Raw genomic sequence first — 23,795 nt, 5'->3', positions numbered from 1 at the left:
GAGAAGGTAAAATGGAAGAGGAAAGCTTTTTTAAAAAAGCATGTTTGTGGTTTACTCTAAACATACATACATATATATATATATATATATATATATATATATATATTCTAGTTTCCTTATTTATCTACAGTAAATTTAGGAAAAAAAAAGTTCAAGTTTTCATTTTCTTTCTTTCAAAACCATTTCCAGAATACCCTTACAGGCTAATTACATGCTAATGATTAATTAACTGAATTAATCATTCAGTTCATCCCACCTTTTGCCCTTTGTACCTTGTTTGTATATAATTAGTTACATGCTACTGCAGTGAAACATGATCAGGATCTTGAGCTACTCTTCATAGACAGGAAAGAAAAAAACAAACAATTTCTGGATAGGTAGTATTTATAACCTCAAATTTGTGTCTTGAAAAAGTATTGTCTGTTCCTGCCCGGGGGCAAGGGGTGGGAATGGTCCAAAAATTATCAGTCAATCAGGAGCTTAAAAAACATTTAAGTATAAACATTTAAGTAATGTTCATTATTTTTTAAAGAAAACAATCTATTCTCAAATGTTGTATTTTAAATTTGGCTTAATTACCTACCAGAATAGCCAATAAATGCTTCATGTTTTGAGAAAACAGGATTTTGGATTCTTGCATTTTTTTTCTTGCATACTTACTCATCTTCCTCTAGCCACTTCATGCTGCTGAGCCTTGGTGCCAACTGTAAGAGCATACTGATTTGTAATAATCTATGGCAATAACTCTTCTCTCTACAGAAATGGGAGATCAGCAAGCAATCAATAATAGACATAAAAGAGTCTATGGTGACAGATAAAAGCAAAAGTTTAATAAGCAGGTTAAAGTAAGTTCAGATGTGCTTGCTACACTCTCTAAGGCCTAGTGGGTAATACCCAGACCAAAGTAAACAAAAAATACATACATATAACAATGTGTATATATATATATATATATAAAACAATGTAAAACAGACTACAAAAAAAAAGATAAGCATTGGACTCTGTCTTGATCATGTCATAGATGTATTGATAGAGAGATTTATAATAAAATTAGGGATTATGTGCTGTAACTAATTAGAAATTAGAAATAAATATATCACAAGCCATTGTATCCAGTAAGAATGGAACAATGAATGGTCAAAGGCATAATTTTGACCTGTAATAAGAAGACCCAGTCTCTCTCTACATATCATTCAGAAGTGAATTTGAGCAATAAACATTCTCAAAGATGTCTTGATCTGCAGAGCTCCTCTGACAACCTGCAGGCTTATGACAAAGGGTTGCCACTGTGATACTATAAGCTTTGGGGTAGTTTATTTGATATATTATTGAGGCAAAAGAAAACTGAAACACACACACACACACACACACACACACACATACACACAGCTAAAATCTGAATGTGTCCCCTCAAAACTCATAGGTTGTAATTGTAACCCCCAAGGTGATGGTATTAGAAAGTGGGACCTATGAGAGGTGATTAGGTCATGGAGGCAAATCCTTCATGAATAAGATAAAAAAGAGGCCCCAGAGTGACCGCCACCCTCTCCCTCCCTGTGAGGTTAGAGTGATAAGACAGCCATCTAAGAGGAAGCAGGCCTATCCCAGAAACCAAATCTTCTAGCACCTTCATATTGAACTTACCAGCCTCCAGATCTGTAAGAAATACATTTATGTTGTTTTTGAGCTACCCAGTTTATAGTATTTTGCTATAGCACCCCAAAAGGACTAAGACACATAAACACACACACACACACACACACACACACACACACCCCAAAGTATTGCCTCACGCCAAATGAAGTTAAAAATCCTGAGACTTCTTAGTAATTGATTTCTCATTGGCCTTAATAACCCAGAGTAAAAAGTGAATACTAAGGAGTTTTTATATCCACAACTATGAGTCTCACACTCTGGGATACTTTCTATTTTGTATTGTTTTAAAAAGTAACTTACTTCTCTTGGTTTGATTACTCTAGGTATTTCTGAGCTCTGAAAATATTTTGCTACTCGGATTGAGCCTGGACACTAGAAGAATGCTGCTCAACAAATGTTAAACAATAGTGGGGTTTATCATCTACTCTCCTCCTTGATCTTCCACATCTGCTCTTGTGCTGCTCGGTTTAACTTTATAGACTATTCTGAAAACTAATGATTCCTAAAGGTTAAGGTTTTTCAATAAATATAAAGTCATGAATATTAGTTTTCTCCTTTATAGTTTCATGGTCTATAATGAATTTCAGTTCAAGCATTTTTCCTTACTTAATAACAACGAAGGTTAAGGATGTTTATTTCTTGTCAAGGCCTTATTAATAATCATTATGAAGCACAATCAAGACATCTCAAAGGTTAGCAGTATTGGTGATTCTGCAGGGGCACACTCTCCTGAAGGTATATTTGAAACATAAGGGAAGTGTACTTATAATTGATAATCTTTTATGAAATGATACAACTTAAAGTGTTTCATCATTCTTATTGAAAGATCTGGTAACCTAGCACAGATTAAGCATCTGTGCTCAATTAATTAAATTGTCCTCTCAGTTAAACAGTGTGAGAAATAGTATTCTCATTAAACAGGATTATAAAACTCCTATATTGGCAAAGTGAACAATCATTATGGACCCTTTCCTTTCATTACCTGTTTATATTCTTCCAACGTACTTATAAGGCAGAAAAGTAATTATACCTTATTAAGGACAAATAGTTCCTCAGCACTGTGAAGTGACGTACTCAAGATAATGAAGTTAATACAGACCAAACTATGATACATGACAGCTTTTGGGTCTCAAAACTATCTCTCTCTATGATAAAATATTGCAAACTCTAATGTTCTTTTTAACAAAATGAAATCCATGTTATGATTTAGATACCTAAATTCGTGGCTGGTTTATAGTGGTGCAAAATTTCACTGATTAACCTAAGTATATATTTACACAGCTATAATTCTTCAGCAAAAATTTAATAAAACAGAGAGAAGAGGTTAATATCCCAAACTGGCCAATTACACCCTAAATAAATAATACCTTTCTTCCTCTCTTTGCTTTGAATTTGAAAGCAGACTTCAATCATTCAAATTCTGGGTTTGCAATAATAAGAATTAGAAGTACATCTTATTTCTGCCACTTCGTGGCTATTACCTAAAACAAATTACTCCACTTCTCTAAGAATCAGGGTTTTTTATTTGTAAATTAGAGATTACAATAATACTTCATAAGTTTCCATAAGAAATAGATTTAAAAGTCCAGGTAAAGTTCTCAGCACACTGCTTGACTCTCGGTAAGTGCTTAATAAATGGTAGCTTTTACTATTTTTATTTTTTTATTTGTTTTTTCTTGACTTTAAAGCCTGGCATAGATACAATGAATGCAAGTTAAGATGTCCATCATATTGTTTGAAGATAATAAAGCTTCCTATCAATTAAAATCTCAGAGGACAATTTCTTTCTCAAAATTGTGTTATTTCCATTTTCTCTCTTATGCTCCATGAAGTAGGCTCATATTACAAATATTATTATGTAAAATGGAGTGTGCCTTGTTAATAATATTCTTATTAACCCTAGTGAAGCACATAACATTTATTGAAAGTTAGCAATGAGTAACAAGTGTTACAGACCACAGTTGTTCTTGGAAATAACACCAACATAGCCCAAGGTATTTGGGGATTGACATGGCTATTAGGCCTGCTCTTGAATCTTTTTGCTAGGTATGTATTCTTTCATAGATACATATTCTCTTTGTAACTGTTAGCACACTTTCTGTCAGCTCCACAATATAAAATGTTGAAACTTCCAACCTCTAACTCCCAGCAAAGTCTACTCTAGCCATTAGACCTTCCAGAATTGACATTGAAAACCCCACTATATTTTCTGGAGATCTTAATAATTAACCTCTGACATCCTGTTCTCTGTTTTATTTATTGATATCTCTCCAATTTTGTTCTGATATTCCCTTACTGTTTTTAAAGACAGTTATATGGTTTGGCTGTGTCCCCACCCAAATCTCATCTTGAATTGTAGCTCCCATAATCCTCAGGTGTCATGGAAGGGACCCAGTGGGAGGTAACTGTATCATGGAGGTGGGATTTTTTGTGCTGTTCTTTTGAAAGTGAAAAAATCTCAGGAGATCTGATGGTTTTAAGGACAGTTCCCCTGCACTCACTCTTTTGCCTGCCACCATGTAAGATGTGCCTTTGCTCCTCCTTTGCTTTCCACCATGACTGTGAGGCCTCCCCAGCCATGTGGAAATGTGAGTCCACTAAACCTCTTTTTCGTTATAAATTACCCAGTCTCAAGTATTTCTTCATAGCATTATGAAAATGGACTAATACAGATTGGTAATAGCCATTGAAAAAATTCTACTTCTACTTTATTCTAAGCTAGGATTTCTTAACTATAGAATTCTATTCCCATATTTTCTTTGAAGAAAGGAAGGAACCACACTTAAGAAGTATTGAGAAGAAGACATACATGTGGCCAACAAACATACGAGAAAAAGCTCAACATCACTGATCATTAGAGAAATGCAAATCAAAATCACAATGAGATACCATCTTATACCAGTCAGAATGACTATTACTAAAAAGTAAAAAAAAAAGCGAAAACAAATGCTGGCAAGTTTGCGGAGAAAGATGGACACTTCTACACTGTTGGTGGGTGTATAAGTTAGTTCAATCATTGTGGAAGACAGTGTGGCAATTCCTCAAAGACCTAGACAGAAATACCACTCAACCCATGAATCTCATTACTGGGTATATACCAAAAGGAATATAAATCATTCTATTATAAAGACACATGCATGCATATGTTCATTGCAGCACTATTCACAATAGCAATGACATGGAATCAGCCTAAATGCCCTTCAAAGATAAACTGGATAAAGAAAATATGGTACATACACACCATGGAATACTAAGCAGGCATAAAAAAGAATGAGATCAGATCCTTTGCAGGGACATGGATGGAGATGGAGGCCATTATCCTTATCAAACTAATGAAGGAACAGAAAACCAAATACCAAATGTTCTCACTTAAAAGTGAGAGCTAAATGATGAGAACACATCAACACATAGAGGGGAACAACACACACTGGGGCCTGTTGAAGGGTGAAGAATAGAAGAAGAGAGAGGACCAGGAAAAATAACTAATGGGTATTAGGCTTAATACCTGGGTGATGAAATAACCTATACCACAAACCCCCATGACACTAGTTTACCTATGTAATAAACCTGCATATGTACCACAAAATTAAAAGTTAAATAAAAGCATGGTAACAAAATAAAATAAAAATAAATAAGTAAATAAAAGAAAAAAATGAAATATTGAGAAGTGATTAATTATCACAATGCTCAATAAATAAATGTTCTGAGAGGCCATGTGAATTATATGTGTTATATATTACATTTCATAATACATTCATATATTAATACATTAATAAATTCACACATATATTATTTCAGATTTACCCAGATTTATGTGAACTCCAAACTAATTTTTTGTGTCATATAATCATCATGGCATTAACTGCCTTTCTTGTTTCAAAGATTATATTATTCTTTATTGCCCCTAGTAGTCTCTTCCCCAGTAGAGGGCCAACTACTCTTCTAAGCTCACATAGATAGACATAATAATTTAGATTTAGGTACATCAAATACAGTAAACAACAGAATAGTTCTGAATTTTTCAAAAATTTTCCATAGTTTCTGATTCATCAATTTAGTGAAGCACTTCTGTGTTCCCAAGTTACGTGGGTTGTTACCTACTAGCACGTATTTTGTTTTGTTTTTTTATTTGTATATGTGTTTCTTTTGCCTTGGAACTTCTTTGGCCATCTGGTTTAACCTATGGACTCTCTCAAAATAAATGTTTTAAATAAAAAATGTTTTTAAAATGTTCTAAATAATATATATTATTATAGAAGAAATCCAATTATAATGAAATATATATAGAATATTAGATGCATGCTATAGATAATATATATATTTTTGATTAATGTATTAAATGTAAAAATTATTGGTTGATCTTATAAATGTCATAATTTCAAAATAATGGTGAGAATAAATATATTAGGAAATATTTACAGTTAGTGTCATGCATTATGAAAATATCTGCACATTCTCTTGGCGAAAAAGTTACAAGCACCACTAATAGTATCGTGATTTATTGCTTTACATACATAATTGAAGAAAATGTAAATTTTAGTTATAGGTTAGTGGGGGACAAATACAATTTTTTTAATCCAAAACGAGGGGCTGCAGAATTCTCTGTTATCTATGGTCACCAGGTTTAGTATCTCTAACTAACAGGAAAGTTTTTGGTATTGCTGTGTTTGCATCAAAGTTTTAAGGAAGTAGGTATTGTTGTTGTTATTATTTGTTTGTAATGTAAACCTTATAGTTATCTTGAGATATGCTGACTTTTGGTTCAGAACCAGAGTAGTGTGTATAATGTTTTTAATTGAAAAGTCCATGATTGAGTTACCTAAAGCAGTGTTATTCCTTCATCTTAACTTACTGTGAACAACATTAGATATCCTCAAGTTACAGTTTACTCCTAAAGTAGTAGGCTAAAGTGAATCAGATGTTATATCTGTACATATTATAGATATAAAAGGGGATAAATTAATGCCTAATTATCATATTTATATCCCATTTATATGTATTCATCTCTTGTTTTATGTAGGTTCACTGCAATTATGTAACTTTATAACCAACAGAGAATGCAATTTTCTTTTTTATTTTTCAGCAGTAGAGAAGAATGATGTACTACTTGTTCTCACTATTGTAAGATTTAGAGTTTTATTTAAGTTTAGTGAACAGAAAAATTAAATAGGAGTTGCTAGATCAAAGTTAATGCTTCAGAAAGAAACATCAATAACTTGCATTTGAATATGTTATAAAATTAAAACTACTTGGAATTATTCATATAAAATGTGAAAACTTCATTTTGTAAAGTCATGATCATATATTTTAAAACACTGCAAGTCAATATATTTAAAACCTGAAATATTTCACATACAATCTTACCATACTTTAGAGAAACTTTGAAGTATATATTTGTTTACCTGGTCATTTGTCTTCCATTGACTTTAGCTAACTAGCCTATACTGGGAAACTTAGATAACATAATATTTTTAAAAATCCAAAGAAAGTTAGAGAAAACTAATTTTCACAAAATCACAATGAAATATATACTACTATTCTAGGTCTACACACACTGTACTTACTAACCTTTTTTTCGTCAGACAAAGCTGGATGTAAAATGACATTATTTTTCTCACATTTTCTTCACACTACTTTTTATGCCTTAAATTTTGGATAATAGTAAATCAAAAGCAACAGAAAGGCATATTCACCAAGCATAAATACACTGATAAGTAAAAGAATGATAAATAATAAAATAGGCAGCAAATTTTTTCCTAGTTAGCACACGCATAATATGTATTAAATATTTCTTATGAATTCCACAGTGGTTTGCCATTCATTAAATAATTTTACATGTGTGTGTGTAAAGAGAGTCAATAATTGATGTCATTGGCATACTAGGTATTATAGGTCATGTCACCATTATCAAGGTACTTTCAGATTAAAGTTTAATAAGTAGTAGGGGAATTATCTAAGACCTGGGGCTAGATGATAATGCAAACTTCTCTTCTTCCCATGTAAATACAAACCATTTTGGACACTATTTATATATGAGGATTAAAGAACAGAATAGATTATTAATGCATTACTAGAGCCAAAGCCTGTGTTTATCAGTTCTAGTAAAGATATTATATCTAGGAGGGCTGTTACGATGGGGGCTCTATGTGGTTTAAGTGGAATTTACTAAGTAGAAAAGTATTTTACCATTGCTATGGTGTGAATGTGTTCCCTCCAAAATTCAGGTGTTGTAATGTGATAGCATGAAAACGTAAGGCCTTTAAAAGACGATTAGGACATAAGGGTTCTCCCTTGTGAATGGGATTAAACCCTTATGAAAGAGGCTTCAAGCAGCTTGTGGTTGGCTTGTCTTTCCTCTTGGTGCCATGTGAGGACACAGTGTCTTCCATGCTTTGGTGGATGCAGTAAAAGTGTGCCATCTTTGAAGTAGAAAGCAGTTCTCACCTGACAATCAAACCTGCTTGCGTCTTGATCTTGGACTTCTCACTCTCAGGAATTTCAAGAAAATAAATTTCTGTTATTTATGAATTAACTCATCTCAGGTATTTTGTTACAGCAGCATAAACAGACCAGACAAACATTATCTGTCATGATCGTTGTGTGTGATAGATGCTGTACTGCACAACTCTGAAGCCTTAGAGAATGAAGGACTTACTACACAGCTACTGGAATTCTAACGGGCAGGCATTTCTCAGATGTCACTCCCTTTTGGGAATTGCCTCAGCTGAAGGGCACCACCTCAGCATTTGTCACAAGCCCTTCCCAGAACAGCACACATCCAAAGACTTATTAACATGACCATGAAATGATTGGCTCTTTTGCCTAAATTTGGACAAATCCTAAGGGTAACTCATGCTCCAGATCTCTCTATGCAATGTTTTGAGAGTTCTTAGAACCAGAAAAGAGCACAAATTTTTCCTTTACTCAATTTGACTTTCTTTCCCTCATTTCCATAAATCCTAATCTTAAAACCACAACCTAACATTTCTCTTGCAATGTCATCCCATGCATGATGACGTCTGGACTTAGAGAAAAGACTTTCAATAAGAAAGAGTTGATACAAGGGATGGTTATTCTCTTTTAAGGGCTCAGACTGTAAAAATTTAAGTAAATGTTTATCCCTTTTGAGTAAACAAAAGCATCACTCATTAAAATGTTTTCCATTAAAACAAGTTGCCTTTCTCAGAGATGGATTACTAATTACTCTTCTGATTTAAATTTGTTTTTCTAAAGAGATTTTTTTTAAGGAGATAGCTTAGTGACTAGAAGATCTGAAACAATAGTTTTCTAAGCTATAATTATAATTTTAAGTTAATAAGTTGATTTCTAGTGATTTATAATTTTTCAATAAGCTTGCTTAATTATGGTAAGAATTAGTACATTACAAACATATTATTTCCTAGTTTGTGTCGTGAATTTTTCTAGGTGTTTTACATATGTATTTTAGTTATTCCTAAAAAAATCCTTAGGAAAACAAAGCAGATGTATTTATTCTTGTTTTGCAAGTAAGATTGACGACGGATCAGGGACTTCCTTAATAACACACAGCTGAGAAGCAAAGCCTTTAGTATCAAACTCAGGTCCACAGAGTATTTAAATCCATACAAAGAACTAATCTTGCTTGTTGGAAATGCAACATTATTAAACTTTTTAGTAGGCAAAACAAAACAAAACAGAATGTTTCTGATAATTTTAAAACTCATATACATAACACTTAATTAACTAGGACTGAGTTTTGTCTTTACATTGGAGACAGCATGTGACATTAAATTTCTGTGAACTTATTATAGGGTATACTTATCTGATCTGATACAGTGAGAGTGGATAATAGTTCTTAAAAAAAAAAACACTTTACTTTGGTACCAAATATGCCTTTATCTGTTTGCTTATTTTAGTAGTCTTTAAAACGAAAGAAAAAGGCATAAGTAAAATATTTAAAATTATGTTAGAAAACTGGGCATGGTGGCTCACGCCTGTAATCCCAGCACTTTGAGAGGCCGAGGTGGGCAGATCACCTGAAGTCAGGAGTTCAAGACCAGCCTGGCCAACATGGAGAAACCCCGTCTCTATTAAAAATACAAAAAATTAGCCAGACATGGTGGCTAGCACCTGTAATCCCAGCTACTTGGGAGGCTGAGGCAAGAGGATCGCTTGAACCTGGGAGGCAGAGTTTGCAGTCAACCGATATTGCACCATTGCACTCCAGCCTGGACAACAAGAGCCAAACACTGTCTCAAAAAAAAAAAATTATATTAGCCAATGTTGTTTAAACACTTAGCCTGTAAAGGTACTGTTATTAGCATTTTAATATTCTGACCCAATTAATACTCACAAAAATCTTATCAGGTATTACTATCACCTCTTCCCAGATAATGTAACTGAGGCAAAGAGATCTTAACTAATTCATCAAAACTTGCAAAACTATTAGCCAGAGTAGGGGATGGAGACAGTCCAAAAGGTAGAATACCAAGAGAAATAAGGTGAAAAATGGGAAGATGAAATTACCTAAAATATTACTAAAAATAGTATACTGTTACCAAGCTTCTTATTCTCTGTCACGTACACACTCTTTTCTACCCCCTGTCTCTTCAGTAATCTAATCCCTAGGTTTTATGTTGACTCCATATATAACTGGAATGGAGGATTTCTATGTGAGGTAATTTAAGCACTTCAGAAAGTCAGGTACGTCCAAGTTACATTTCCTATTAATTTGACAGGGACATTTTTACCTTCAAGCTTACTTTGTTAAGTTAAGGGATTATAGCTTAAAACATATTATAAGACAGTTAACCTGATTGAAATGGGTGCAAGTGAGTCCTACCCAGTGTGTGCTTCATATTCACCAAAGATTAAGAGTATTATGATTCATTCTCTGATTTAAGGTCTTTCAGTCTAGGAAGAATACTTCTTAAATAAATCTTATTATTTTTAGAGCATATATATGGGTTTAAGCATACAGAAAGGAAAATGAAAATTTAAACAACATTACTATTCTTAAATCTCAAAATAGACCTTAGCAACCTTAGTGAGATAGGTACTAAGATAAACCTAAGTACAGAGTGTTAAGAACTCTCTTAGTAGAGACTCCTATTAGCCTGGGAGAGAGTAACTTTTGTGAAAGAGAAAATGCCTGGCTGGCTCTTGAAGGATAACTAAATGCAGCAAGAATGGACTTTATAGAAAGAGAAAAAATTATATGATGAGACATAGGGATGAAAATATCTCATGAGTTTCAATAAGCTACGAGTGGGTCAGTATTTTTGGCAGGTGAGGTTTATATTTCATGTGCATGAGAGTTGCCTGTACATTATCTATTCTTCTCTTATTCTTGTTGGTTTTTGTTTTTTTTCTAATGCAGTTCTGATTTGTTCAGGTTACCAATGTGTACAATCTTCTTTCCCACTCCCTTGAAGCTAGAAGCAATCATATACTGAATTCTGGATCACGAAGACACGGTTTAGATTGGACTTCCAAGATAGGATTTTCATAATAAAAAGGGTTATGTTCAGTTGTCGTGTGTCATTTTCATGTTATACTTTCCTGTTCTTTTTTGATGAAAACATAAAAGAATTTTCTGGAAATGCATTCACCATATTTTGACACTGAAGAGAAGGGCAAGGAGGAAGAGCCTAAGCCCTGGATGGCTTCTTCACTGTGCTGCTGTTCTTGGGGGGATCCATGGATTATGAATCAGTTAAGGGATAAAACAAAAGATAATGAGACAAGATTGGGGGAATTATTATTATTGATAGATTTTAGGTTAGACTATGTGGCTCAACATGAGAACCAAAGGATTTTGCTAACTAAACCTCACAGTTAGCTAAATTTTCCACCCAATTACAAGCAATGCTACACCAGGGAAGGTGTCTCTGTGTGGTAGGAGAAGAATCTGCTCTTAGAGGAGCAATGAAGACTGCCTACTTCACATGAGCAGCTGACTTGCAAGAAGGGAAGCATGGAACAATAAAGTTAAGGAGACACATTTAACCATCACGTGAGTCACATTCACCACCACGGAGCAGCGTACATAAAGGTATAGAGAGATGACAAAGGCCAGAGTTACCCTGACAGGTCCCCCTATTATGAAAGGAGTAACAAGAGTAGGAAAAAATTATTTCCTTCCACCACACTATCAAGTCTAGACTGCCTCCCTCAGAGTTTATTGTTACATAAGAAAAATACATTTAAAAATTGCATAAGTCATTATAGGTGGATTTCACTTACATGTAACCATACTAAATCCTGATTCAACAAGTGGCAAATTCTGACAGAAGATATAGAGATATGCAGCTGCAGAGAAAACACATTAGAGGTTTTGAAATCTATTCTGCATGCGAACATCCTTTTAAAAAATGTGATAGCTGTAGATAGGTCAATACTGTCTTCCTCCTCTCATGCTGCTACAATGATCAAAAAAAGGAATTGGGAATTGAGTGAGGATTACGGATTTCAGAAATATTTTAAAGAAATAACTGATATAACTGGGTCACTTTAAAATAAAGGAAAGGAAAAGAAATGTTAAGAATGATCCCCAAAATGTACTGTTTTGGTAACTGGAAGGAAACGAGTAGAGTCTGACTAGAAAAGAAGCAGGTGGGGGTAGGAGGATGAATTCGGTTTTAGACATGTTGATTTTGACTAATTCTGGGCCAACCAAATTGTGGACTGATTCAAATCCAGCAGGCAACAGTGCATATTGAACTAGAACCCAAGAGCATGAGTGGGCTATAAACATACTTGGGAGACATCATCACAAAAGTTTTCAGGAGAAATGAGGATACATGAATTCATCAAGAAAGAGTGGGCAGCACAGAACAGAAAAGACTCAGCATTTCAGAGAGAGGTCGAAAATGATAAAAAGAATAACCTGCCAAAGAGATAACAGGCAAACCCTGAAGGCAGTGATGTCAAGAAAATCATTAACATTCTTTAGAAGATGTTCTACAGTGACAATGTGCAGAAAGGCCAGTAACAAGGACAAGGTGAATAAATGCTATCCTTTTCCTTTGCATCAATTATGTCAACGGCAACCGTGGTCAAAGTAGCTTCAGCAGAGATGGCCCTGGGTGAGGCTAACCAGCTGGCAAAAGGTTGAGGAGTCAATGGGAGATGAAAAATTGACTCAGTGAATATGAGCCACTCTCTTAAAAAGCACACACCTGGATGTAAGGAGAGACACAGCGCAGTAGAGAGAGTTTGAAGGCTTATTTTTTGTTTTTGTTATTTTTATTGCTATTGTGTTTATCTCAAAATTATGATAACTAAGGCTTTTTAAAGTAATTATGAGAAATAGACCAGAAAGGTTCATTAAAGAAGCTAAAAGGTAACAAAAGTGTTGTGGATCCCTAGGAAAGAATGGTATCCAGAGCAGAGGAGTACATTCTGAGAAGACACACAGAGGAGACCGTTGGTAAAATAACAGGCTTTTGGACATATGAAACAAAATAGGAAATAAAATTATATTATTTCACGTTTTTTCCTGTGCCTCGTCTTCCTTTGGTTTAAATGGAGATTTCTACTGATCAGTGGTGGCCAGCCAATAACTCAGAATTATGTGTAACAATTCAGCAGCAAGATGAAGATAAAAAATAGTGGCCACTGTAAAAAGATTTAATACTCTCATAAAACCCCTAATTCTAATGTGTTGAGAAAAAAAGACAGAGGATTTTCTTGTTTATATAGGGAGTTCTTTATTCATTACAAAATAGTTTTTTAATCTCAAATTTTTCTCTTTACTTGACACTTATCATTTTGTCATAATTAATAGAATGACTGAATATGAAACCAACATTTTAAGCACCGTGAAGACATAGTGAATGAGACAGAATCAATTTTGACACTGATATTTGATAGGTATATTTGTATCATAAGCTAGTGGAGTGGTGAGCACTTCAACCCATTTCTCTAATATTGTGGCTGATGAGGACTATGCCAGTTCAGCATGGGTTTGATTTTCTACAGTGTATAAAGGACATCAGACCATGAATATTCAGAACATTAGGATATAAAATTAAATATTAGCATAGTGACACACGAGGCTGCCTTACATAACTTGAAATAGAAACAGGAATTCAAGTAATAAATAATGTATGGCAAGAGGCAAGTGGCAACAGGCAAGTGACACTTCCTGCCACATATTAGAGCCAAAAGAGTAATCTTCTTTCTGGGAATATATTCAAATATGTGGGCAGCTTCAGACAGAACACATGTAGGAGTGAAAGAAAGAGGTACACTGTTTTGGCATCCATAAATCTCTGGCAACCAATAGTGTCATACTTGTCACCATATCCAGTGATTTAGTTTGGGGGGATATTTATGGTAGTCCTTTCAATGACACTAGCGAATTCTTGTAGCTCTCTCCACACTGGCTCATTTATTTCCTCTACATTTTAGGTCATGGTTAAGAGCATGGGTTCTGGATTCCAATAACATAATTTTAAAAATTGTATAGATACATGGTGTTTTGTCATTGAAATATTAAAAACGACTGTAACAAAACTCATACTCAATACACTTGTTACCTTACTGTTACTTTGTGCTACTAATGCTCTGTTTTAATAAATTAAACCATGATCATGTCCAGCTTAAATTTCTATTTACTTGCCTTGTCTTTCCCTTAATCAGTTCTTAACCTTTCCCTCTTCATGAATAAGTCTTCTATATCCTCTCCATTGATGTCTTCAGAGCTCTGCAGTGGCTCATGTCTGCAGGCCAGAAATGGCTGTAGAAAAATGCTCAATGGAGATGATTGGATCTCAGAGAAACAAGGGCCAAGCACAGTACTTAACTGCCATAGACAAGAGTGATAAGAAGAACCAAGGTGTTAATCAAAAACTTTTGAGAAAGAGGAGTCTTTGGTATTAGATAATTTATCATGATGTCCCTAAGACTGAAATAGATGGGCTACCTACTAAATTATTACGTGGTTTTTGTAAGCAGAAGTGCCTTAGGTTTGCTGAGCAGAAGTTTGAATTAAATCAACAAAATAAAAAATCATGGTCTGTGTTAGGCTGTCCTTGCCTTGCTATAAAGAAATATCTGAAGCTAGGTAATTTATAAAGAAAAGAGGTTTAATTGGCTCATGGACCTGCAGTTTTTACAGGAAGCATGGTGCTGGCATCTGCTTGGCTTCTAGGGGACCTCAGGAAGCTTACAATCATGCTGGAAGGTGAAGGGAGAGCAAGCATGCCACATGGCAAAAGCAGGAGCAATAGAGAGAAAGACTGGTGGTGGGGGTTGAGGGAGGGTGCCACACACTTTTAAATGACGAGATCTCACAATAACTCACTCACTATCTCAAAGACAGCACCAAGCCATGAGGGATCCACCCCCATAACCCAAACACCTCCTATCAGACCCCATCTCCAGAATTTCTCCAGCATTGGGGATTACAATTGAACATGGGATTTGAGCAAGGACAAATATCCAAACTATATAATGATCCCTCCACAAATCTCAGAATTAAGCCAGATCAGAGATCCTGAAGTGAAGGGGATGTCAGGTTCCCTTGAGAAAAGACTCTACTTAAGTTCCAAAATTTTATGTTGTAACTCTCACTCTTAGACATCTGCCAAAGCACCTGAGACCATTTACCAGAGGTAGCTGTGAATTAAACAGTGAGAAATGGCTGGGTGCGGTGGCTCAGGCCTATAATTCCAACACTTTGGGAAGCCGAAGTGAGTGGATCATCTGAGGTCAGGAGTTCAAGACCAGCCAGACCAACATGGTGAAACCCTGTCTATACTAATAATACAAAAATTAGCCAAGAGTGGTCACATGTGCCTGTAATCCCAACTTCTTGGGAGGCTGAGACAGGAGAATTGCTTGAACCTGGGAGGCAGAGGTTGCAGAGAGCCACGATTGTGCCACTACACTCCAGCCTGGGTGACAGAGTGAGACTCTATCTCAAAAAAAAAAAGAAAAAAAGAATGAGAAATAACTAGATATTCAGAGAGTAGTGGACATGCCCTTGAATTGTCCTTAATACCTGAGATGCAACATGCCCTGATCCTGCACCAATCAGATTAAGGACTTACGAAGATCTGATGATTAATGGAGTTTAGCTAGAATCTCTCTCTGAAAGGACCCAAAGGCACTTGAAACCACTCTTTATTTTCTCACTTCTGGAATGCACAGTTGTAATAGAAATACCTGCCAATGGCAATGTCTGAATGGATTCTCTGGCCTTGAGAGTTATGGCAGGAAAGGCAAACTGGAAGTTCCTATTCCTGCCTTCACTTTCCAAAACAATAAACCAAAAACATATGCCATTCTTGGAGAGCTTGCAGAGAAGAGTGCCCCCACCAAAGACTTGACAGACACAGCAGTGATTATTTCTTCCATATTTCCATCCAATTTTCTCATCATGAGTGTGTAAAAGACTGATGGGTATATGAGAATTATTGCAATTTGATTAGATGTTGGCTCCAGTTGCAACTTCTCTTCCAGATGTAGATTATTTGCTATTGCACATCAAAGCATATCTTGTCGTCTGGTAAGCAGCTTTTGAGCAATTTTTTTCTATATGTATTAATAAACACCACTGAAGTTGTTCATACACTTTCATGATCCTATCTCAAGGATATATCAATTCTCCAGTCCTCTTTCATAATTTTTCTACATGAATTTTGATGGCCTCTTCATTCCACAGAACATCACACTGGTCCACTTTATTGATCATATCATCCTGAATAGACTAGATAAGTAGGAAGTAATGATTGATCCTGATACCTTGCTAAGGTACGTGTATGCTAAAGGTGGAAAAAATAAATTCCACTGTAATTTATTGCCCCAATACCTCAATTAAATTTGTAACAGTCTAGTTTTCCAGTGTTTGTGAAAACATCCATTCAAAGAGATCTGCATCTGGCCACTCCTACAATTTAGAGAGAAATACAAAGCCTGGTGGGCCTCTTTAGACCTTGGAGTCAAACTATACCTAATTTTCCCTTGTTATTCCACTCATTTCTTGAGTAAAATGAAAGGCTAACAGTTTTGAATGGAACTCAGAGGAAAAGAATTCTCTTTAACAGGTGCAAGCTACTCCAACACTTAGGCTATATGACTGAAATGATTTGATGTTGACTGATGTATCAGTAGACAAAAGAGACACTGTATGGAGCCCTTAGGATTTTGGAGCAAAGCTCTGCTGCCTTCTGAAGCAAATTTTCTTTCTTTTTTGTATTTATAAAAAACATCTGGCTTGCTACCAGGCTCTAGTAGAGACTGACCACCTAACCATGGGCCAAAAGTTACTATGAAAACTGAGCTGCCTATTATGAACTGTGATGTTATCTGACCTATCAGTTTATAAATTTTAGTGTACACAGAAGAATTCCATCATCATGTAGAAGCAGTATACATAATATCAGGCTAGAAGAGGACCTGGAGGTACGAGTAAGCTGAATAAATGTGTAGCTGAAATTGTCATAGCTGTCATTAATTTTACATTTCTTCATCTCTCAATTTGTACTATACACTCATGGAAATTTAGCAAGAATTCAGTAACAGTCTCCAAATTGTTATATGCAACATGTATACCCAAAAGCAGACAGCTGTATCAGTACTGTTCCAGTCCTAGGTAATGTTAAAGAACAGTGGTGAGTAAAAACTCTTCCAAAGGGAGCATAGACCTTGAGAAGTTTATGTTGTTGTTCCTTTATTTCAGAAAAAAAGACCTGAAGTATGAATTGTTATAAATTCACAAACAATAACTAATAATTTGGCTAGATGATTAGAATTTCAGAATAAACAGAATTATAATACTGATTACAAGAAAGTTTGGGGGAGAGGTGTGAGATTATCTGTGTCTCATATGAATACTTGCCAATTATCAACCTCAGTAAAGGGAGATCTTAGTAATTAGATGAACAAAACGCTCTAATCTACAACTGTCAACTAGCTACCCTTGCCATTACCCAACGAACAAAATGTCCATAACTACAAGGATGGTGCTTAATGTTGGCTTACCATATGTATTTGGTAAATACTCAATTATGACAAAAGTTAGCATGTTTTGGGCCCTTCATGATGGTTCCATCATATTAGGAAGCATGATTTTCTGCTGTCATTATTTGTAAGTAACTATGATTATGACAGTTTATATAAATACTAACTTAACAAAATATGAACAAATTCTAGATTGTACTTTGTCAATTTAGTTAAACGGGGACTTGTATTTCCCCAAATCTCCTTGTCTATGTAGCCTCAGGTTAGATTAGGCCAGAGAGGAGTTTGCATGGAATTTCAAAGGAAAGAAGTAAAGTAGCAAGCAGTACTCTATGTCCTTTGTAGTCACATATGTTGAGGAACAAATGCAGGGTTGCCTGGCAGTTCTGGTGTGTCTTCACTCACCTCTTCTCTTTGTCTAGCTATTCTTCTCAACAATTGGTTTTTCTGGCCAACAGCTGCCCCAGGTCTACTGGCAAAATATTATCTGCAGTTCCATAGAAGTAGTAGATATGTTGATATAACAGCTTTCCAAAGACCACTCTTGGAATCATAACTTGATGGAATATAGCTAAAGCAATACTAATAAGAAAATGTGTAACACTAATTGCTTACATTAGAAAAGGTAAGAAGACAATGTATATTCTCACCTCAACAAATAACAAAAAAGATCAAAAGAAACCAAAGTAATCAAAGGAAGGAGATAACAAAGAAAAGCAGTAATCAATAAAATTGGAAAGAAAAAACTATGGAAAAAATCAATAAAATAAAATTTCCATTCTTCAAATAGATCAGTAAAATTGTTAAAACTCTAAATGACCTGATAAAAATAAAAAGAAAGAAAACAAACCACCAATATCCAGGATAAAATGGGATATTACTACAGATCCTGCTGTTATTTAAAAATTAATAAGAGAATACAATGCTTTGCTCATAGATTCAACTTTATGCTCATAGATTCAAAAACTTAAAAGAAATAAAATAATTTGCTTGTAAACCACAAACTAACATAACTTAGTCAAGAGTATATAGATAATCTGAAATATCAAATAGCCATTACATAAATTGAATCTGTAACTAACAACTCCCCCTTAAAATACATCTACAGATCCAAGTGGTTTTGCTAATAAATTATGCCAAAGCTTGAAAGAAGAATTAACCTCAAATTTGTAGAATCTCTTTTAGGAAAAGGAAGAGGAGAAAACATTTTCCAACTCATTTTTATGAAACCAATATTACCTTCATACAAAAGCCAAAGACAATACAAATAAATAATTTTTTAAAAAAGGAAGAGAAAAATACAAACCAGTATCTCTTATGAAATTAAGAATGAAAACCCTAAAAAAGGAGCAAATGAAATCCAATAATGCAAGGAAAGAATTATATGCCATGATCAAATGGGATTTATTCCAGGTATGCAAGGCTTATTCAACATTTACAAATAATCAACAAAATTTACCACATCAACAGCCTAAAAAAGAAAAATTATTGTACTTATATAAATGGACAAACAAAAAGCATTTGACAAAATCCAAACCCATTCATGACAAAACTTTCAACAAGTTAAAAATAAAATAGAACAGCCTCAACTTAATAAAGGGCATCTACAAACTACCTACAACTAATATCATACTTACTAGAGAAAGTATGAATGCTTTCTCCTAAGATGGAGAATAAGGCTGGTATATCTGGTCTCAAGACTTATTCAACATATAGTACTGGATGTTCTAACCAATGCAATAAGACAAGAAAAGAGAAGGGGAGAGAGAGAGAGAGAGAGGGAGAGAGAGAGAGAAAGAAGGAAGGAAGGAAGGAAGGAAGGAAGGAAGGAAAGAAGGAAGGAAGGAAGGAAAGAAGGAAGGCAGGCAGGCAGGCAGGCAGGCAGGCAGACAGGCAGGTGAGAAAGAAAGAAAGAAAAAGAAAGAAAGAGAGAGGAGAAAGAAAGAAAGAAAGAAAGAAAGAAAGAAAGAAAGAAGAAAGAAAGAAAGAAAGAAAGAAAGAAAGAAGGAAGGAAGGAAGGAAGGAAGGAAAGAAAGAAAGAAAGAAAGAAAGAAAGAAAGAAAGAAAGAAAGAAAAGATATACAGATTGAAAAGCAAGAAAGAAAATGTTCCTTATTTACAAGTTATCTGTGTATGAAATCCCAAAGAAACTACAAAAAAATCCAAACAACAAAATATTTCTAGAACTAATTAGTAATTTTAGTAATGTTATCAAGGTTATAGAATATAGAATCAACACAAAAATCAACATGTGGAAAATAAAACTTAAAAATAAAATATTATTATCATAAGGAAAATGAAATATCTAGGTCTAAATTTGATAGAAATATGTACATGTATGCTAAGAATGCTAATTATAAAATGCTAGTTAAAGTAATCAATGAAGAACTAAGTAGATGAAGATATATAGCATATTTATGAATTGGAAATTTCAACATAGTAAAGTTGTCAGTATCCTCCAATGCACCCACAGCTTTATTGCAAATGCTATCAAAATCTCAATAAGGTATATTGTAGACACAGAAAAACTTATTCTATTTATATATAAAGGCAAAGGACTTAGAGAAGCTAAACCAATTTTGAAAAAGAAGAATGTAGGAGAAATCATCTTACACATATTAAGGCAAATTGTAGAGCTATGGTAATCTAGAAAGTGTAGTACTAGTGGAGAGATAGAATTATAAATCAATGAGACAGAATAAAGAATACAAATAGACCCACACTACATAGTTAAACAATTTTTGACAAAGGTGCATGCAAAAGTAATTTCAAAGAAGAATAGTCCTTTCAACAAATGGTCTTTTAGCAAGTGGAAATAAAAGAACATAGCCTAAACCTCACACTTATGCAAAAATTAAGTCAAAATTAGTCATAAACTTAGATGTAAAATGCAAAGCCATACAATTTCCATAAAAATATTTTAAAACATCCACAATACAGAGCTAGGCACAATTTCTAGCCTTGATACCAGAAGCATTCGTCATAAAAGTAAAATTTCATAAATTAGAACTCACCATTTTTAAAAAATTGCTTTGAAAAATATTTGGATATGAGGATGAAAGGACAAACTGGAAAGAATGCAAACCACATATCCAGTGAAAGATTGGTATCTAAAATACATATTCTCAAAACTCAACAGAAAAAACAAGAAAATGGGCAAAAGACATGGACAGACATTTCACCAAAGAAAATATGCAGATTGGAAATAAGGACATAAAAAATTCCATACCATTAACCATTACGGAAATGCACATTAAAACCACAATAAGATATCTCTACTGACCTACCAGAATGTCTATAATTAAAAAATATATAGCAACACTAATTGCTGTCAAGGACATGAAGAAACTAAATAACTCATTCATTGCTACCAGGGATTGTAAAATGGAACAGTTACTCTGGAAAACAGTTTGGGTATTTTAAATAACACTAAACATGCACTTCCATTTGTCTTAGTAATTATACTCTTGGACATTTATTCCAGCATAAACAAAATGTTAGGGTCACACACACACACAGATGTACCCAAATATTCATGGCAGCTTTTTTGTAATAGTCAAAAACTGAAAACAAAACAAAACAAAACAAAACAAAAAAACCAAGATGTCTTCAATGGGTGAATGGTTAGGCAAATTGTGGTATATCCATACCATGAAGCTCAGCAGTAAAAAAGAACTGTTGGATGAAGCTGAAGGTGAATAAACAGTGAAAAAGTTCAACCTTAAAATATTACATACTGTATAAATACATTTACATAATACTATTGAAATGACAAAACTATAGAAATGGATAACAGATTCATGGTTACCTGGATGAGAAAAGGAAGAGCAGCTGGTGTTGCTTAACACGTGCCAATGTTACTCGTATTTATACGGGCAAGCAACTTACAGGTCCAAGGCCTACATTAACATAGACGGAGGCAAAAGTAAGTATTTGCAAATAATAATACAACCTTTGATAATCTCTTCACTGCCCAATATGGGAACATGAGTATTGTTTTATCTCATTTATCTAGTATAAAAAGGCTAAATTACCAACATCTGTGTCTCATAGAACTGTCCCATAAAAACTCTGTGATGAGAAGAATACTTTATATGTCCTCTCCATTAAGATAGCCATTAACGATATATGGTAAGATTTGAAACGCAGCTAGTGTGATTGAGGAATTGAATTTTTAGCTTTATTTAATTGCGATTAATTTAAATAGCCACATGTGGCTAGCAGCTATCAAATTGGACAACGAATTTCTAAAGATACTAAATTTCTAGTTTTCTTTAATCCTCATGTTTTTCTCTTCACTTAATATTGTCTCTCAGTTGGGTGGAGGAAACTTAACTTTGATCAACTGGGATATTTCCACTATCCAGTTTACAAGATAGTTTCTAAATCCCAATGAGATTTTAGAGCATTCTGTTTGTTTTGGTGGGCGTATATTGAATTCTCAAATCAAAATTAAAAATTTTCCCTGTGGTTAGCCATTAATATAATCAGCACATCTGTCTTCTGTCACTTACTGTAGTGGTTAGTTTTTGCTGTGGTTAAAAACCACCAAAATTTTGGTAGTACATGACAACAAGAAAATTTGTTACCCAGTAGTTTGTATGTTGGCTGTGCTTTGGCCTGGCTTGACTACGTTCAGTTGGATTTAGCTGTAGGCTACAAAATCAGGTCAGGTCTTCTCCATTCCAGGCCTCAGGCTAAAGAATCTTGGAAACTGTTTTTTTTAATTATTATTATTTGTAACAGATAACAAGGTATAAGGAGAACAAAAACAAATACATATTCCTCTCTGTCACCATTCCATGAGTCAAAACAAGTCTCATGACAAGCACAAAGTCAACTGGAGCAAGGAAATGGAACTTGGCTAAGTGAACCTATGCAAGAACAAAAGGAGAAGACATAATTGTAAAGATATAATAAAAACCTCTTACAATTCTGTGTATAAGTGGCAGTTGCCTTTGTGTGGCAGAGGACAATATATCCAACAGATATTTTCATTTTTTCCTTGCTATTATAGGGCACAGGAATTTTATTGAGTGCACTATAACTTCATCTACCTAGTTACATTGCCCATCTCATTTCCTCTTTGGTTTCTGAATAACTTCCTAGATCTCTGACCAGGAAATATGACATAGAATCCTATTATTAGACCAGTACAATGGGTCTCTCTCTTAGTTCAAATGGACACTCCAGCCTAGAAAAGTAATGTTATTTTTTTTTCTCTGAAACAATTTGTTTAGATACCAAATTTCTAATTCACCCCCCGCCCCTCCCTGCCTCACCTCATTGCCACAAGACTTGGGTTTCGAAAACTCAAAGACAAGGCTAGAATAACACATTTTCCTTCTCTGGGCTGTATCCTATTCCCCTTTTGAGGCAGTGAGAGCCCACTATGTAACAGAAACTTTGGAGAGGAAACAGGGAAATAACAGGAGAAAATGAAGATGGGATATCATCCTTAATATAGTATCACATTCTGGTTGTAGTCTAAAGTAAACATGTGCGAAAAATTTCTTATTTGTGTCCTATTTAAATATTTAGTATTCCCTAGTAACTAGAAAGATCAGTATTGATATTAAATAAAAGTCAATAAGGAGGCTAAAATGATTACTGTCATCAGAAAATCATGTATGCTATTAGAATTATTTTGAGAACTGGAGGTAAACTTTAAGGTAATGTAAGCAAGTGAATAGCAGAAAGATTATGTAATCTGCTCAAGTTTACCAATATGGGTAAAGGCAAAATGAAGGAATAGATTCGAGTTTTTTGATATCCACGTCATAGTAATGCCAAGAAATTTCTCTGTCAGAAATATAATTTTTTTCTATAAGGGTACAGCTAAAATTGATATCATTTTTTCCCACTGTTGACTGTATTCCAGACTCCTAGCACATAATGGCAGGTGAGAAGTTATAGCATTGAATGATAATCATTACCTCAACAATTTTAAAATTAAAAGGAGCTAAATTATGCAATATAGACTTTGTACCAAGTCAACAATTCCAATCAAGCAACACAACACAATTAAACAGTATATTTTTGATAGCAAAGTGCTTTAAATTATTCTTTATTCTGTGTTATTTGTGAATGACCCAGTAATTTCTGTCTCCTATTATGCACCGTAAAGTAGAAGTATAATGTTCAAATAATTTCAAACGGAGTCATAGTCTTAACAGAGCATAATAGATAAG

Source organism: Homo sapiens, chromosome 4 (assembly GCF_000001405.40).
Source record: "Homo sapiens chromosome 4, GRCh38.p14 Primary Assembly".
Taxonomy (NCBI): domain Eukaryota; kingdom Metazoa; phylum Chordata; class Mammalia; order Primates; family Hominidae; genus Homo; species Homo sapiens.
This window is presented reverse-complemented; position numbering follows the sequence as displayed.